The 17,429-nt window shown below is 54.5% G+C and overlaps 1 protein-coding gene and 1 long non-coding RNA gene across 4 annotated transcripts in view, besides 3 other annotated features; one reads left to right on the top strand and one right to left on the bottom strand.

The window, feature by feature from the left end:
* The window catches only part of COL6A2 (collagen type VI alpha 2 chain), a 34,737-nt gene extending 33,232 nt beyond the window's left edge, over positions 1–1,505 (bottom strand). For all 3 annotated transcript variants that reach the window (NM_001849.4, NM_058175.3, NM_058174.3), the window contains exon 1: positions 1,444–1,505. The gene's annotated coding sequence lies outside the window, so the exon portion shown is untranslated. The remainder of the gene's footprint in view (positions 1–1,443) is intronic.
* Positions 1,388–1,682: an enhancer, noted in NCBI's record as "tiled region #12001; K562 Activating DNase matched - State 4:PromP". NCBI's record gives its function as "activates a minimal TATA promoter and a strong SV40 promoter by Sharpr-MPRA in K562 cells {active_cell/tissue: K562}" and the evidence as "EXISTENCE:reporter gene assay evidence [ECO:0000049][PMID:27701403]".
* On the top strand, positions 1,972–7,721 carry COL6A2-DT (COL6A2 divergent transcript). Its single transcript, NR_186433.1, has 2 exons — positions 1,972–2,145; positions 5,741–7,721. It is a non-coding gene; the product is annotated as a COL6A2 divergent transcript (long non-coding RNA).
* Positions 13,688–14,188: an enhancer, noted in NCBI's record as "H3K4me1 hESC enhancer chr21:47505343-47505843 (GRCh37/hg19 assembly coordinates)". NCBI's record gives its function as "activates a minimal SCP1, AML or CMV promoter by ChIP-STARR-seq in primed H9 embryonic stem cells {active_cell/tissue: H9 hESC(primed)}" and the evidence as "EXISTENCE:reporter gene assay evidence [ECO:0000049][PMID:30033119]".
* Positions 14,189–14,689: an enhancer, noted in NCBI's record as "H3K4me1 hESC enhancer chr21:47504842-47505342 (GRCh37/hg19 assembly coordinates)". NCBI's record gives its function as "activates a minimal SCP1, AML or CMV promoter by ChIP-STARR-seq in naive and primed H9 embryonic stem cells {active_cell/tissue: H9 hESC(naive and primed)}" and the evidence as "EXISTENCE:reporter gene assay evidence [ECO:0000049][PMID:30033119]".

The raw sequence follows: 17,429 nt of genomic DNA, 5'->3' as shown, positions 1-17,429 counted from the left end.
GACCCCTGCTTGTGGCGGGTGAGCCCCGCATCAGGCGCCCGACTTTGCATAAACGTGAAATAGGCCACAGGAGGCAGCAACTCAACGTGCAGGGCCGTGTTTAAGAGAAAGCATCTCACCGGGCCTTTCTTTCCTTTTTTTTTTTTTTTTTTTTTTTTTTTGAGACAGTCTCGCTCCCTCACCCAGGCTGGAGTGCAGTGGCGCGATCTCAGCTCACTGCAGCCTCCGCCTCCCAGGTTCAAGTGATTTTCTCCTGCCTCAGCCTCCCGATTAGCTGGGATTACAGGTGCCTGCCACCACGCCCGGCTAATTTTTTTTTGTATTTTTAGTAGAGACGGGGTTTCACCCTGTTGGCCAGGCTGGTCTCGAACTCCTGACCTCAGGTGATCTGCCCGCCTCGGCCTCCCCAAGTGTTGGGATTACAGGCGTGAGCCACCGTGCCCGGTCTGGCCTTTCTTGAAATAATCACCAGAGTCGAAGTGCAAGGGGGCCTCCAAGCCAGAGCTGTGTTATCCCAAGAACAAGGAGCTCCGCGGATCGCAGGCCCCTCCTTTCTGGGTTCCGACCCCAAAGGGAAGGTCCCTTCTCCAGGGGCGTCCTAGGCGCGGGCACCGGGGTTCTGCTGGCACAGCCCGGATGGGCGCCGCTCGCCCGCACACCTGCGGCTCCACAGAGGGCCGATCCGTTCGGTTGCCAGCAGTGGAGACCCAGGCCCAGCGGTTCCACCAGCGCCCCGGCGGAGTCCCAGGGCGGGTGTGGGCGGCCCGGCAGGGGCTGCGGGTCGCTGTCAGCCCGGGTCCCGCCGCCCTGGGGAGCCGCCTCCGTCTGCAGCTTCTCCTGGGCCTGGCGGGGCCCTGGTGGGCTCCAGGCCGGGAGGGGCGCAGCGATGGGGCGTCGGGGCCACCCGCGTCCCCTCCCCGCCCAGTCCCGCCCTCGGGCACCGAAAGCCCCTCCTCCCCCCGCCCCGCCGCCCCTTCCGTCCGGCCCGGGGAGAGGCCCTGCGCCCCCGGAGGTCCCAGCCAGCCGGGGCGTCTTCCCCGCGGGCCGGAGCCGGACCCGAACCGCTCGCAGACGCGGGGCCTGGCGGGGCGTGCGGTGCCGGGGTCGTCTCGGGAGCGGGGGTCCCAGCACCGAGCTCGGGCGCAGACAGGGACCCCCCCACCCCGCCCAGGCCGGCTCCGCCCCAGAGGAGGCCGCGGGGAGGTGGCCCCAAGTCGCGCGCCCGAGGGTCGGACCCAGAGACGCGGAGCCACAGGGGCAGGCGCGGCCCCAGCCCCGCGAGGAGGAGCCCCGAACCCGCCGAGCCCCCCGCCGTCCCTGGGGCTGGAGTCCCCCTTCCCGGGGACCCGAGGGACGGAGCCGCCGCCGCCGCCTTCCCAGGACTCGGGGTCACCCCCCGCGGGCCGAGCGGCTTCCAGGGTGCGGGGTCCGGGAGGCGCTCACCTGGTCCCGAGGAGGCTCCGCTCCCGACGGCCCGAGGCGCGGGCGCCGAGTAAGCAGCAGGGAGGGAACCGCGGCCGGCGCCGCCCCCTTTATACCCCGCCCCGCCGGCCTGACCCGCCCCGCCGCCAGGAAGCGCTGCGGCCCCGCGGATGGGAGGAGGGGGCCGGGGGCACGGGAGGGGGATGGGAGGGAAGCGGGGACCCTCGAGGGCGGGAGGCTGGAGGAGGTGGAGAGGGTGGGGACCCCCCTGCAGCCCGGGCCGAGCTCCCCCGCCAGCCCCTGCCCGCTGCTGCTCGGACTTCGCGTCCCGGGCCCGGCCGCCCGTCGCCCCCGCCCCATTTCCCGGACGACCTGGCTGGGGCTGTGTCCGCCTCCGGGGCCCTGGGTGTTGGGGACCGCGCCCCGCACGCAGGGCCGACGGGGGCCCTGGGACTCGCCCCTTGGTAGCAGCTGCCCTGGGGGGTGCAGGGTTCCCCCCATCAGCCCCCCGACCCCTCCCCTACCCCGTGTCCTGTGTCCGGCTTGCTCAGGCCTCCCGCGAGAGGCCCCGGGTCAGGAGCTCCTGCAGAAACTGCCGCTCCTGGGGCCTGAGGGTGGGGAGCCGGGAGGGCAGGGACAGCAGAGCCTGGGCGCGGAGGTTGGGGCAGAGCCTGGGCATGCGGCGAGCCACCCCTGCCACCCCTTTCCCGCTGGAAACCACAGGTGGGCTTGGTGCTGGGCCCTGGGACCACCGTGAGGTCCCCACCTGAGCCCAGCCGGGGACAGAGTGACAGGGGTCCCTGGTAGGGCTCTGTCTGGGGTCCCCACTCCCCACCCTGGTCACAGTCCCCCAGCCAGGGCCGGGGTTCCTCCTTGAGGTGAGGCGCAGCCGGGTTGGGGAGAGGTCCCTGGGCTCCGGGACAGGGCTCCCTTCAGAGCTGTCCTGGAAGGTGGCGGAGCGGCTGGGGGCGAGGTCCCTCTTCTGATGAGCAGGTTTGCAAATGTGGTGTGTGTGTGTGTCTGAGACTGAGTGTGTGTGGTGTGTGCATCTGAGTGTGTGGTGTGTGTCTGTGTCTGAGACTGAGTTTGAGTCTGTGGTGTGTGTATCTGTGTGTGGTGTGTGTCTGTGTCTGAGACTGTGTGCATCTGTGAGTGTGTGGTGTGTGTCTGCGTCTGAGGTTGAGTGTGAATGTGTGTGTCTAAGTGTGCCTGAGTGTGAGTGTATGTGCCTAAGTGTGCCTGAGTGTGGCAGCCACATGGTAGCCATGAGTCCAGGGCTCCTGCCTGCTGCTCCTGAGCACAGCTGACGGCGGGCACCGTGTGCCACTCCCCTGGGTCCATGCCGAACTCTCACCTGGGCAATGCCTCCTGCTTCCAAGCCAGCAGCTCCCAGGGGGAAGCCAGGCCCCTCCTCACAAGACCAGAATCCTTTAGGGGTTACCTTGGCTCCAGAAGTTCTCCCTCGGCCTGGCCAGCACTGTCTAGGGGCACGTGCTGGCCAAGGCTCCCCGTATCTCCTTCACAGGGGTCTCACCTGTGGTCTGAGGCTTCCGTCCTCTTTGGCCACCCCCCCAGCATCCTTCACAGACATTGCACTGATAAATCTCCAGTCACGTCAGAGCTTCCATGGCACCTGCCTCTTGGAAGACCCCAATTAACACAAGTGGTGCAGGAGGGGCCTGAGACTCAGCTGGTGCGGTGGCCGTTTCCCGGCCAACACCGAGGACACCATTCTGGTTGATGTGGGGATATGGGTAATCTTTGGCACAAAGTTAGGGCCCCAATTGTTAAATGTTTTCACCAAGAGTGATCTGGGACGTTTTCCTGGTGGAAGGGGAGGCCTTGTGGGTGTGGCAGTTTCCCCCTTTCAGTGCATGGGGGGAGTGGGGTTGATGCTCCACAGAGGGATGAATGGAGATTGCGACGTTACCCACGGTTGCCCATCAGGCTTGGTGTGAGAACAAAGGGCCTCTCTGGTTGCTGAAAAGGAGTCCCATGTTTGGCAGAGGTAGAACCAGTATGGCTGAGGAGCCGACAGTGACTGTGGGGACCACCTAGCTCTAGGCATGTTTTGATGCCTGGCCACGGCTGGCCTATGTGAAGGTCTGGACCCCGGTTGGGAAAATCTGGGACCCTGAAACATGGGCTGAGACATCCAGGTGGAAGCCCTGAGGGCATGGCCCTGCAGACCCCTGTCCCCTCAGAGCTTGCAGAGGGGCCCCTCCTGCCCTTGGAAGCCAGCACTTCCTCTGTGCTGGAAGATGCTCCAGGGGCCTCCCCTACCAGAGCAGCAGGTGCCCTCACTGGGGGCTGCTCCACCTTGTCTCTTGGCTGCCAGCAGTGACTAGGGAGAAAGTCCAGGGTAACCTGGATGGGGACCTGCTAGGCCTGACCAGGGAGTAGAGAGGTTGCATGTCCAGGAACTGCACGAGGCAGCCAGCATGTGCCTGCAGGAGCCAGGGAACACCCCCGGTATTAGATTTCCAGGGTGCTTTATCCAGGGGGACAGAAGAACTATTGAGGCGGAGGCACTTGCTTGGCACATAGGATTAGTTACCTGGCAAGTTCTGCAGGTCGTGGGTCAAAGATGATTCTGGGATGGCTCCCAGAAGCCTGGAGAAAGCGATGGGTCATGTTGAGCCAAGCCGCCCTGGCGGACGGCAGAGGAAGGAAGAAAGAGGCCGAGGGCGGGGACTCCAGTAAAATATCGTGGTTCCCTACTCCATTCCTGGACTTGAGCTAATTTCCTGTCTGGAACCATTGATTGCAGAGGTGGCCAGGTCACCAGAAGGAAGGACCAGGCAATACCTTGACAAGGATGTTCTGTAGAATCCCGCTGTCACTCACTCAGCTGGCTGCACGCTGGGAAAATCCAGAGATTTTGAGGACAAATGGACGCGGGATGTGAGTGGACCTTGATACTGGAGGCCAAAAGTGTCGCTGTGGCCTCCCTGTTAGAGAAGGGGCTGACGGGGCCAGGTAATAAAAAGGAATCCTGGCTAAAGTGTTGGGCACAGTGAGACCCCTGGGCCAGAAGACCATCCAGTGGCCGCTTCCCTGCCCCCTGAGTATGTAATTATAATTTATGTACTTGGTGGCTGGAGTAGCCATATATTGGATCCCAGGCCTGTGTGGTGACAGACATCATAGTGGGGAAGTCCCCTTTCCATGGCCAAGAGAGTAAATCACAAACCACGTTGCATCCTGGGAGGATGGCACCACCGTTAAAGGCCTCACGGAGGCGAGGGTGGTGGACTGTCGTGTCTAATTCTCTGGCCTGGTCATTGCAAAGACTGATGGATCCTAGAAAGTGACGCCAGACCACTTAGCCTGAACCCGGTAGTAGCTCCAGTTGCATCTGCTGTGTCAGACGTATCATCGTAGCAGATTAATGAGGCCAGTGATTGGCCATTGCATTCTTTTCTATTCCAATTAGAAAAGAGGATCGGAAACAGTTTGCATTTACATGGGAGGAACAACAATACTCATTCCCAGTTTAGTGCAGGGCCACGCTAACTCTGTCCTCTGTCCTAATATTGCCTGAAAAGATCTGGGCACCTGAGCAGTGCACCGGACACCACACTGATCCATTACAGTGACGACATAATGGGCAGGAGGAGGAACAGGAGGGTCATGAGCTAGAGGCCTTATGAGACACATTTGCATCTGTGGGTGGGAGGTGAACTCCGAGGATTCAGGGACCTAACTTCATGGAAGTTTTTAGGGCACCAGTGATCAGGTTCATACCAGGACATCCTCTAAAGTAAAAGAGAAATTGCTACATCTTGCATCCCCTACTTCAAAGGAGGAAGCACAGGGCCTGACAGGCCTTTTTGGGTTCTGAAGGCAACATATTTAATTCCTGGGGGCACTGCTCTGACCCACGGCTTGGCTGACATGGAGGCTGCCAGCTTCGAGGCGGCCAGGAGCAGAAAATGACTGTCTGAGCAGCCCTGCCATCTGGGCCACGTGACCCAGCAGCCCCTGTGGTGTTGGAGGTGTCAGTGTGGGAGCAGGCAAGTGTGGGGCTGCGGCAAGCCGCAGTGGGAGAGCCAGAGCCTCTGGGTTTGGGTGGAGGCCGTGTCACCTGCAGAGGAAGCTGCTCACCTTTAGAGAAATGCTTCCTGTGGCCCAAGCAGGTGGGGCAGCCCAGCCGTGCATCTCTGTGCACACCAGGACCTGGCTTCAGGTTGGACTGATCAGGGGAGGCTGGGCACTTGCTTTGAGGCCTTGCTGGGACCTGCAATTTCCACCCTATCCCTCCCATGAAGGGGCCCCAGTGATGGCTGCCGTGTTGGGTTTCTGTTTGTCTCTGCAGATGGCAATGACAGCAGTAGTCCCCTGGCAGCCACACACCCCTCTCCAAGAACCCCAGCGTGCCACCTGCCAGAGCCTGCAGCTCCCACACCCCTCTCATGCCTCCAGCACAGCCCTGCCACCACTTGCAGAGGAAGCTGAGACCAGAGCACTGAAGTAACCTGCCCAAGACTGCACAGCTTGCTGGCAGAGGAGCAGAGCCTGCGGCACGGCCTCTGTGTTACACTGTGGGCCCTGAGGATGAGGACTGGCCTGGAGTCCCTTTGGGTCTGCAGAGCAATGCCTGGCACAGAGCAGGCCCTGACTGGGGCTGCAGAGTCACTAAGTCCCTGCATGGGGGACCAACTGATGCAGGCTCTGAGGTCCCAGGATTCTGTGGAGATTCACAGGGGACCTAGGACCCTCGGAGCTGCCCTCTGAATTCAAGCAGTGGTGCCTCCTGTGCTTGTCAGGCAGGATGATCTGTGGGGCCTGTGGGCTCTGACCTCACTCTGCAGCAGCAAAGCCCAGAGGCCTCACTTTTTCATGAACCAGCACAGGCTCTCCTGAGAGCCCTGGAGGGAAGGCTCCGGCTATACTGCCTCCTGGTGTGAGGAGGCTTCTCTCTTGTCTGTCCCACTAGGGCGGGGCTGACGTTCTACCCTTGCCGGTGGGCTCTGGTCTGCTTCCCCTCATCATGCCCTTCTCAACATTCTCATTTTCAGACTGAAGTTGGGTGATTGCTCCTTTTCTCAGAGTGCTTGGGTGCAGCAGGCTGCGGAGGGGCACTGAGGCAGCCCAGCCTCAACCAGGGTTCCCAGGACCTGAGGCCCCAGGCTGGACCCCAGCAGGCTGCAGGCTGCCCTGCGGACACCACACCTCAACACCACAAAGGGCCCTGCTGAGGTTGGCAGTCAGTGCTCAGAGCACCTCCAGGCACGGTTCCTAACGAGCAAGCTGATGCCAAGGTCACATGACCATGAGTTTTTGGCTGCGTTGGGTCCTGTTTATGGAGAGATGGTGGGAGGGGAGCAGCATGGGTGGGTGGTGGTTCACGCTTAGGGGACTAACTGGGAGCTACAGTAAGACACATGCGTACCATTAAGAAGAGACTTTCTCTGTCGGAACTGTGGGTGCTTGTAGGCCCGGCCTGGAGGAGGAGGAAGCCGTGCTGTCCTTTTCTGCCCAAGTGTTCTCAGGCTGAGGCAGGCCTTAAGTGGCTCCGTGTGGAAAAGCTCTCTGTGGCTTTCTCACACTCTGGACACCACGTGGACCACTCAGGGCAGCAGGGGCGTTACTCTCGGGCTTGCAGCCTTTCATGGACATTTGAGAAGATGCCTCTGTAGTCAGACTTTCCTCTGCTTACTCATGGAGCCGACAGACAGAACTAATGTTCTCCCCAGCCGCAGCTGATCTCGACTCAGAAAAAAACGAAAAATGGCAAGACCTGCCACTAATGGGCAATTGCACATGAGTCAGTTTGTGTCACGGGTGTGTGTTCAGAGCTGGTGGTAGATCCTCCGGCTTTTATTTTTTAAGCCAGAGCCACCGCATTATTCTCAATAATCTCACCCAGGCTCTCGGGCTGCCAAGCACGTGTATTTTTGTCTTTTACTTTCACAATAGCACAGGAGTACTGGAGAATGTGGCGTGGACCATAGTTTACATTTTCAGTGGAAACCAGGACCAGAGGCTGTGTGCTCGGGGCCCAGATGGGGTGAGGACACCAGGTGGTAGGAAGTCGGGGGACAAAGGCTGTGGGCAAGAGCCTCATCGATCCTGCACCAGGAGGAGCCAGGGGAGGCTGCCCTGTCCCACAGAGAGGAGACCGAGGCTCCCGGAGGAGGACAAGTGGCAGGAAAGAAAACCGCGGTCTTTTCTCTCCCAGTCAGGGGGGTGGTGTGTTTCCCCTCCACCATCTGGGAGGTTGTCTATACTACGTGGGATTTGATTACAAATATTTCAAAATATTTATGCCTGAATAAAACCCTCCTCTTAACCAACCGTGCGGTGCTAACTGAAGGGGCCACGTGAATGTCACACAACTCAGTTCCCTGCTGGCGCAGGACAGCCACACTGACAAATACTTCAGCAGCCGGCACGACCTGTTTGTGACATGAGAATGTCAGGTAAGCATAGCACAGGGCTTCTCACCGCAGGTCCAACCCAGAGTGTAGTGCCACAAGTCCCCAAAGTCTGAAAAAAACTCTATTTTCCTGAGAAGAGGGCCCAGAGATTTAATTGGAAATAGGTACATGTAACTCCAAAGGTAATGCATAGTTTCAAAGAACTGGAACACAACAAAACACACAAAATCCACATGAAGGAAAATTCAGTTTTTCTCTGATGACTTAGGGAGTCCAGAGTTGACACTGCCACCAGTAATCCCATGGTTATCTCCACCACCACCACCATCACCATCATTGCCATCACCACCACCACCACCATCACCGCCACCACCACCATCACCATTATCATCACCACCACCACCATCACCATTATCATCACCATTATCATCACCATCACCATCACCACCACCATTACCACCACCACCATCATTACCATCACCACCATCACCACTACTACCACCACCATCACCACCTTCACCATCATCACCACCATCATCACCATCACCACCATCACCACCGCCACCAACACCATCACCACGGCCACATCACCACCACCACCATCACCACCATCACCACCACCACTACTACCACCACGATCACCACCACCACCATCACCACCACCATCACCACCACCATCACCACCACCATCACCACCACCACCATCACCATCACCACCATCACCATCATCATCACCACCATCATCACCACCACCACCACCATCACCACCATCACCATCATCACCACCACCATCACCACCACCATCACCACCACCATCACCACCACCATCACCACCATCACCACCACCATCACCACCATCACCACCACCACCACCACCACCACAACCACCACCACCATCACCACCACCATCACCACCACCACACCATCACCCCATCACCATTATCACCATTGCCATCATCATCACCATCACCAAGACCTCCCCACTACTGTCACTACTACTACTGCTATCACCACCACCACCATCACCACCACCATCACCACCACCACACCATCACCCCATCACCATTATCACCATTGCCATCATCATCACCATCACCAAGACCTCCCCACTACTGTCACTACTACTACTGCTATCACCATTACCCTCACCCTTACTGTCACCACCATCCGTATCACAATCTGAATCAGTTATCCATTTCTCCATAGCAAACCATTCTAACACTTAATGGCTTAAAAAATCACCCATTTAATTTGCTGTTTTTTTGTGGGTTGACACTTTGGACTGGGCTCTGCTGGGCAGCTCTTCTGATGGTTGCATCTGAACTCATTATGTGGTGCCCATCAGCTGAAGGCTTGGAGGAAGCTGAATGATCTAAGATGGCATTACTTATAGGTCTTGTAGGGTTTTGGCCAGGGTGCCTTGGTTCTCCTCCATGTGTCCTCTCTAGAAGTCTAACTCAGACTTGTTTACATGGCGTCAGTATTCCAAGAGAATGAGAGCAGAAGCTGCAAAGATTCTTGATATCTGGGCCCAGAAGTCACAATACATTACTTTGCCACATTTTATTGGTCAAAGCAAGTGACAAGGCCAACCAGGATTCAGGCAATGGAGAAGTAGGCTCCAGCACCCAATGTGAAGAGCTGCAAAGATTTTGTGACTCTTTTCAGTCTACTACCACCACCACCACCACCAACAACAACAACACTATCACCTTTTCCCATTCCCATTCCCATAACCTTTGTCTATCCCCACCATCCTCTCCTAAAGGCAAGCACTGACCATTTCAGGAGATTGGATCATAGAAAGATGTAGCCTCTGATCTTAAAGGCCATGCCATGTAGCTGAAGACATACATATTCGTGATGGGTGGATAAGGGTGTTGTAAATCTCTGGATGTACTCCTCACCAACACTGACAAACTCTCTTGAGGGAGAAAGGGTGAAAGTCCCGGGTGACTGCCATCTTCTATCTTGGAGGCAGGGCCTCCGTCTGATATGGGAGAAGGATGTGCTCACCTGCAGAGTGCCCTCTTTGTTAGGTGCATGTTTACAGTTACTTTTCTTTGCCTTTTTGTTATTAATTTTTACCTTTTACTAGTGATTGGCATTAAATAGTTATGACATTATTGTTTATTTTGGGGAAGATAATGCATGGCCACTGTGCAAAAGTCAAAAGGCACAAAAGGATACAGGGTAAAAGGCCTCCTGCCAGCCCTTGCTGCAAGGCTGGAGTGGGGGAGAATAACTTCCATGCTCACTCACGCAACTGTGGCCGTCCTCAGCCCCTGCTGGCTGGAGACACCAGCTTCTCACCACAGCTCCCTATGTGCAATACAGAAACTTGATTGCCCTAGAGTGGGAGCTGTGAGAGAGAAAGCTGGCAAGAGAGGAGAATGAGACGGTGGCCCAGCAAGACAGAAGTAAACAACTTTTTGTAGGCTAGTCTTCGAATTACATCTCATCACTTTTGCCGTAATCTGTTTGTTAGCAGTCAGTCACTAGGTCCAGCCTGTGCTCAGGTGGAGGGGATTATACAAGGTCAGGAATACCAGGAGGCAGGATTGCTGCAGGCTATTTTAGAGACTGCCTAGTGTGGGTCTGTTAGCAACACATTTCCTTAGTTTTCATTTGTTTCAACAGCCTTTTATTTAACCTTCAGTTTTGAAAGATATTTCCCTAGGTAAGAATTCCAACTTAGCAGTTATTTTCTTTTGATACTCTGAAGATGACATTCCATTATCTTCTGGCTTTCAGATTTGTGGAAAAAAATCTATCTTTCTGTTGTTTCTTTAAATAAAATGTGCTTTTTTCCTCTGGATTCTTTCAAGGTTTTCTTATCGTCTTTGGTTTACAGCAGTTTTATGATGTACCTAGGAACGATGTCCTTTATGTGTAGATTTTCTTTTTTGAATCTGTGGTAAGATATTTTTTATCAGTTTTAGAAAAGTTCTTGGTTATGATCTCTTCAGATATTGCCTCTGCCCCTTTCTGTCTTTATTTTCCTCCTGGGCCTTAAATTTCACAGGTTAGAGCCTTTCATCATCTTCCATGCATCTCTTATATGCTTTTCTATATTATCTGTCTTTGTCCTTCAGTCTGCCCATTTCCTTTTGACCTATTTTCAAATTAACTTATTCTCTTTTCTGTTATGTCTAATCTGCTATTAATCCTATCCATTGAGCTTTTAACATTAATTATTGCATTTTTTACTTTTAGAATTTCTGTTTTATCTTCAGTGTCAATTACTTTTTTTAACGCAACTATCTCATCTTCTAATGTCTCATGAATCATACTTATTTTAAAGTTCATGTCTGATAACTCCCAAATCAAGGCCACCCATGGATCTGTTTCTCTTGTTTGTTTTTTCCCCCATACAGGCATACGGTCCTGTCTCTTTTCTTGCTGGGTTATTTTTGATTAAGTGCTGGACATTGTGTATGAAATATTGTAGAAGCTCTGTTTAATGTTATCTTACTTTTTATAGGATTTAGTGTTATTTTGGTGGACAGTTGGTGTAGGGACAGGTCACCTTTTTCCAATCACAGTTGGATGTAGTTCAAATCTAAGTTTATGTCTTTGTGAATACTGATATATCACCAGTTTTCCCCTAATCCTAGAGCCTAACTTTCCAAGGGACCAGCTGAGAGTCTAAGGTATTTGCTGAGGGTTCTGTTCCTTCGAGGGCCCTAAATTCTAGGTGTTTTCTCCCTAGCACTGAGAAACTGGCAAAGAGTATGCTTAGTTTGTTTTTCTTTCCAAAATAGGTTTATTCAGGTATATTTTACATAACATAAAATTCACCCTATTCAAGTATGAGTATGCAATTCAATAATTTTTGGCAAATTTACCAAATGGTATAATCATAATCATAAATCAGCTTTAGAAAGTTTTCATCACCCCAATAAGACTTCTTATGCTCATTTATCGTTAATACCCTTTCATACCCTCCACCCCAGGAAACCACTAATCTGCTTTCTCTCTATAGATTTGCCTTTTCTGGATGTTTCATGTAAATGGAATCATATGGAATCATACATTATGTGGTCTCTTGTGTCTGGCTTCTTTCATTTAGCATAATGTTTTTGAGGTTCATTTATGATAGGCTATGTGTCAGTAGTTAATTCTTACCAAGGTACAGTATTTTTTTCTGGAATAAATGCTTTTCAGGTTGTTGCAATACTTTGGTTAATCTGTAGAGCTCTGAAAAAGAATATTTTGATACTTTTTCTAGTAATTTCTTTGCTTTTAAGGAAAACTGGATTTATGGAGGTTCTCACTCCACCATTCCAGAAGTCCTGGCCTTATAATTAATTTTTGTTCATTGATCCTGTGCCTTGTCAAATTCACTTATCGGTTCTTGCAGCTTTTTAAATAAATTCTGTAGAATTTTCTAAGCACAAAATAATATCCTCTGTGAATACAGACAATATTACCTCATGATGTAGTCTGGCTCTGTGTCCCCACCCAAATTTAGTCTTGAATTGTAATCCGAATTGTAATCCCCACATGTTGGGGGAGGGATCTTGTGGGGGGGTGATTAGATCATGGGGGTGGTGCCCCCATGCTGTTCTCATGATAGTGGGTGAGTTCTCACAAGATATGATGGTTTTATAAGGGGCTTTTCCCCCTTTCACTCTGCACTTCTCTCTCCCTGCCACCATGTGAAGAAGGACATGTTGGCTTCCCTTTCTGCCATGATTGTAAGTTTCCTGAGGCCTCCCCAGCCATGTTAAACTATGAGTCAATTAAGCCTCTTTCCTTTATAAGTTACCCAGTCTTGGGCAGTTCTCTACAGCAGCATGAGAACAGACCAATACACCTCTTCTTTCCAATATGTATACCTTTATTTCTTTTTCTTGCCTTTATCCGCTAGTTAAACCTCCAGTACAATGTCAAATAGCAGTGGTGAGAATGGATGTCCTTAACATAGTCCTGAATTTAGAGAGAAAGTCCACTGTCTTTCACAGAAATATGGTATTAACTATAGGGTAGCTTTGGTGGTTGTTGGTGATGATGCTCTTTATTATGTTGAGAAAGTTAACTTCTTTTTTTTTTAGTTTTTATTTTAGAGAAAGTTAACTTCAATTTCTAGTTTTCTTAGAGTACTTTCACAAACAGGCATTGCATTTTGTCAAATATACTTTCTGCATTTATTGAGGTGATCAAATTGTTCATCACCTCTATTCTGCTATTATAGTAAATTATATTGTTTGATTTAAAAAATCTTAAGCCAAAATTGCATAAGCACAGTTAGCTATGGTATAGTATCCTTTATATAAATTGGCAGGTTCAATTTGCTAATGCTTTGTTAAGGAATTTTGTGTTTATGTTCATTTGAGATGTTGGTCTGTGTTTTTCTTTTCTGGTTTGGGTATCAGGATGATTTTGGTCTCATCAAATAAATTTTGAAATGTTACCTTCCCTTCTATATTCTGAAAGAGTTTATTCAGAATTGGTGTTACTTCTTTCTTAAATGTTTGATATAATTCTCCAGTGAAGACCTCTCACACAATTTTCTTAATAACTATAGGAATATTTTTGAGTTAATTTAGATAATTTATATATTTCAAGGAATCTGTTTATTTTATATAAGTTGTCTAAATTTATTGGCATAAAGTTGGTCATCATATTTCTTTATTGTCCTTTTAATGTCTGTCAGATCTGTAGTGATGTTTCCTATTTCATTTCTCATGTTAATAATTTGTCACTTCTCTCTTTTAAAAAATCAGTATAGGTAGAGTTGTATCAAATTTATTGATCTTTTCAGAGTCAGCTTTTTGTTGTGTTGATTGTCTCTATTGTTTGCCTGTTTTCTATTTCAGTGTTGTGTGGCTGGGCCTGTCATTTTATTTGGGATGATGACCAAGTTTGAAGGCCACCATTCAGCCCAGGCCAGCCTGTCTGAGGATAGCAGTGCCACTGACTGGTCCATGATGACAGTGGTCAGGATGGTGGGGCAAAAGCACCCAGGCGATCAGTCACAGGGGCAGGGTCCTGGAGTCACACTGTGCCCTGGCTGTGTCACTGCTCCTCCTCTGTCACAGGGGGAGGGTCCTGGAGTCCTGGAGTCACACTATGCCCTGGCTGTGTCACTGCTCCTCCTCAGTCACAGGGGCAGGGTCCGGGAGTCCTGGAGTCACACTGTGCCCTGGCTGTGTCACTGCTCCTCCTCAGTCACAGGGGCAGGGTCCTGGAGTCACACTATGCCCTGGCTGTGTCACTGCTCCTCCTCAGTCACAGGGGCAGGGTCCGGGAGTCCTGGAGTCACACTGTGCCCTGGCTGTGTCACTGCTCCTCCTCAGTCACAGGGGCAGGGTCCTGGAGTCACACTGTGCCCTGGCTGTGTCACTGCTCCTCCTCGGTCACAGGGGCAGGGTCCTGGAGTCACCCTATGCCCTGGCTGTGTCACTGCTCCTCCTCTGTCACAGGGGCAGGGTCGGGGAGTCCTGGAGTCTCACTGTGTCCTGGCTGTGTCACTGCTCCTCCTCGGTCACAGGGGCAGGGTCCGGGAGTCCTGGAGTCACACTGTGTCCTGGCTGTGTCACTGCTCCTCCTCGGTCACAGGGGCAGGGTCCTGGAGTCACACTATGCCCTGGCTGTGTCACTGCTCCTCCTCGGTCACAGGGGCAGGGTCCTGGAGTCACACCGTGTCCTGGCTGTGTCACTGCTCCTCCTCTGTCACAGGGGCAGGGTCGGGGAGTCCTGGAGTCTCACTGTGTCCTGGCTGTGTCACTGCTCCTCCTCGGTCACAGGGGTGGGGTCCGGGAGTCCTGGAATCACACTGTGCCCTGGCTGTGTCACTGCTCCTCCTCAGTCACAGGGGACTCTTCACTGCACCTGGGTCGGGCGAGCTGCCCGTGAGGAACCTCCCAGGATACCAGGGTTGGGGCGGTGGCAGCCGCAGGCAGGTTTCCCTGGCTCACTGTGGAGGTGTCAGCACCACTGGGTGCACGCGCGTGCCAGCTGGCATGATGGTGTGAAACCACACACAGCCAAACCTGGAGGCACCTAAGTGTCCTTGATGGACACAAGAGGAGAGAAGTCCTGTGATTGGTTTAAGACAGGCTGGAAATACCTTTTAACAAAACCCAATATCTACCTCTAATGAGCCTTATTCTCACATTATTAGAATTGTACATTTACCCTGATGCCAACGTCAGCTTGATGGAGAACCTGGGACGCATTCCAGTGTGTTCCTCCTTTTCCGGCTCCCGCCCCACCCAGGGACCTGTCCCTCAGGGTGGCCTGGGCTCCCCTCTGGACCTGGCCTCGGGTGCAACCTCTGGGTTTGACCATTCGCAATTCTCACCGAGACCCCTGACCCTCCCCGGCACCACTGTACTCGCCTCCCGGGTCAGCCCTCGTCTGGCTGGTAGCCCCTCCCGCAGCCCCCAGGACGGCAGGAGGGTTCAGACGGGAACACGGGAGCAGATGGGTCTGCTGCCGCTGCTCACAGGAAGCCACCACAGGGCAGGGTCAGAGGGCACTCACAGCAGCCACAGGGCCGGGTGTGGGGTGGTCACACTGCCTGGGACCAGTTGCCAGTTTCAGAGGGGAGGGGACGTCACAGAGCTCAAGACAGGGCCCTGGGTCCCCCCCAGAGCTGCACTAGGGGGTCTGGGACCACAGCTCGCCTGGGATGGGTTCGGACCCAGAGACTGGACATCCAGCCTCAAAGTCAGGCTATTGCTGCTTGCATCTCCGCTGCCCTGTATGTTGGCGGGGGTGGGGAGCAGCCCCCTGTTCCACAGGCATCGGGAGCAGCTCACAGCCCGTGCAGCCGAGCCACAGGGATGACACATGCCCAGAAATTAGGAATACCGCCTGGAAGGGACCCTAGGAGCCATCTGCGGTGGGGCGCCCATTCCACATCCTCAGGGTACAGGGCCTGCTCTCCCCAGCTTCTCCCCTACAGGCCCAGGACACAGGCCTTGTCTGCGCCTCCCTCCCACTCCTGCCTGCTCTGTTCCTTGAGGTCGGGAGGAGTGGGGCGTGGTGGGGCTGCGTGCCCTGTTGCGTTTCTTTGGGGGCACTGGTCCTCCTGGCTCCTGGGCAGCTCCCTCCCGTGGTCTGAGGCACTCACGCTGCCCTCTGGGCCCCTCCCGCTCTGTGGGCTGAGGTCTTGGAAGACTCAGCGACGTCGGCCGCAGAGAAGCCTCTCTTCCCTTTGAAGGAGCCGCTTTCCGGCAGGAAGAAAATTTTAAATTGTCGGACAAATCAAGCCCTAAACAGAACCAGCTGTCCTGAGGATTAACAGCCTTGAGACCCGGAACAAACGTGCAGCCCCGCGTGGAGGGCGCGGTGCTGTGGGCGGCAGCCGGGGGGTGGCTATGAACTTGTGAGCTGGAAGCCACTTCGAGAGGGCCTGATTCCGGGGCCCACAGTCGTCGCAGGGGTGGGATTTTCTGGGGCTGGTTTAACCGAAATGCCACAGGGGCCCCTCAATTTCTCCCGAGTCAGGACTCCCTGGAGGCTGCCGCCTGCCCTCCCCCAGGGTCTGAGGCCCAGCCTTGGAGGGCCCTGTGGAGACTCCACCGGGCAAACCTCCTCTCAGTAAGCAGATGCGGTCGAGGGTGAGACCAGCAACATGTGGCCCCCTCCCTGCTCAACGCACCCAATTACCCAACTCACTTATTAGATCCCCGCACGTGCAGATGTGGTGGCAGGCGGGGGAGGGCTGCTGGGTGCGGCCCAGGGCCTCCCAATAAGACCTGGATGGTGACGATGGCCTGCAGGCTGGGAGCACCTTGCCTGCCCGGCTGCCCCCCAGGTCACCTCTTCCAAGCTCAGGTCCCTCTGGACAAGACTCTGAGTCCCCCACCCCACCCAGCTCTCCAGGGGCCCCCTCCCACCAGCTCAGAGACCCCCTTTATCAGGCGCCCCACTCTGCCCCCACGAATGCTCAAGGCCCCGATCCCTGCCAGCATGTCTTCTGGCCTCAGCTCACGTCCCAGGGACTGGTCACCCAGCCTCCCCACCTGAGTGGAAGCCCAGTGGCCTTCCTGGAGGAGGGGGTCATTTTCTTGGCATTGCCAGGTCCTGAGTCCTCCTGAGCTTCTCTCCCCTGCAGTTGGTGTGGACAGTCCCAGGCGTGGCACCCCAGGGACACAGAGGCCCAAAGTGAGAGGACCCTCTAGCCCACCTGGCTTCTCTGTCAAGGCCCAGCCTGTGGGACAGGTCGGGACTGGGAGGGTCTCTGGGGAGCAAGGGTCAGATGGGAAGAGAGATCAAGTGGGTGGGTCCCTGCCAGGAGGGGGCACAGCACCCCCAGGCCTGCTCACTCTGGGACTGACCACAGCCTCCCGGGGTCACACCACGATGGCTGAGCAGCGAGCGTCGTCGTCCAAGCCGTGACTGAGGCGGGGTGAACGGTTGCCTGGGGAGGGTGGGCCGGGCTGTTGACCCTGAGAGCCGCCCTGACGGGAGCCCCGAGGTTGCATCTGCAGGACCCCTGCCCCCACCTGGCCTGGCCTCGGGGGGCTGCTGTCCCCCGTCCTTGTACCGCCCACAGCAGACACGCACGGCAGCCTCCAGGGACTGCAAAGCCACAGTGTGTTTGAGGGGCGGCCTCTGGACCCTGGGCTCTGGGGCCCTGCACGGTGGACGGGGTCTGTGGAGGGGTCG

Source organism: Homo sapiens, chromosome 21 (assembly GCF_000001405.40).
Source record: "Homo sapiens chromosome 21, GRCh38.p14 Primary Assembly".
Taxonomy (NCBI): Eukaryota; Metazoa; Chordata; class Mammalia; order Primates; family Hominidae; genus Homo; species Homo sapiens.
The sequence above is the reverse complement of the archived record's forward strand: the minus strand, read 5'-3'. Positions and strand labels throughout refer to the sequence as shown.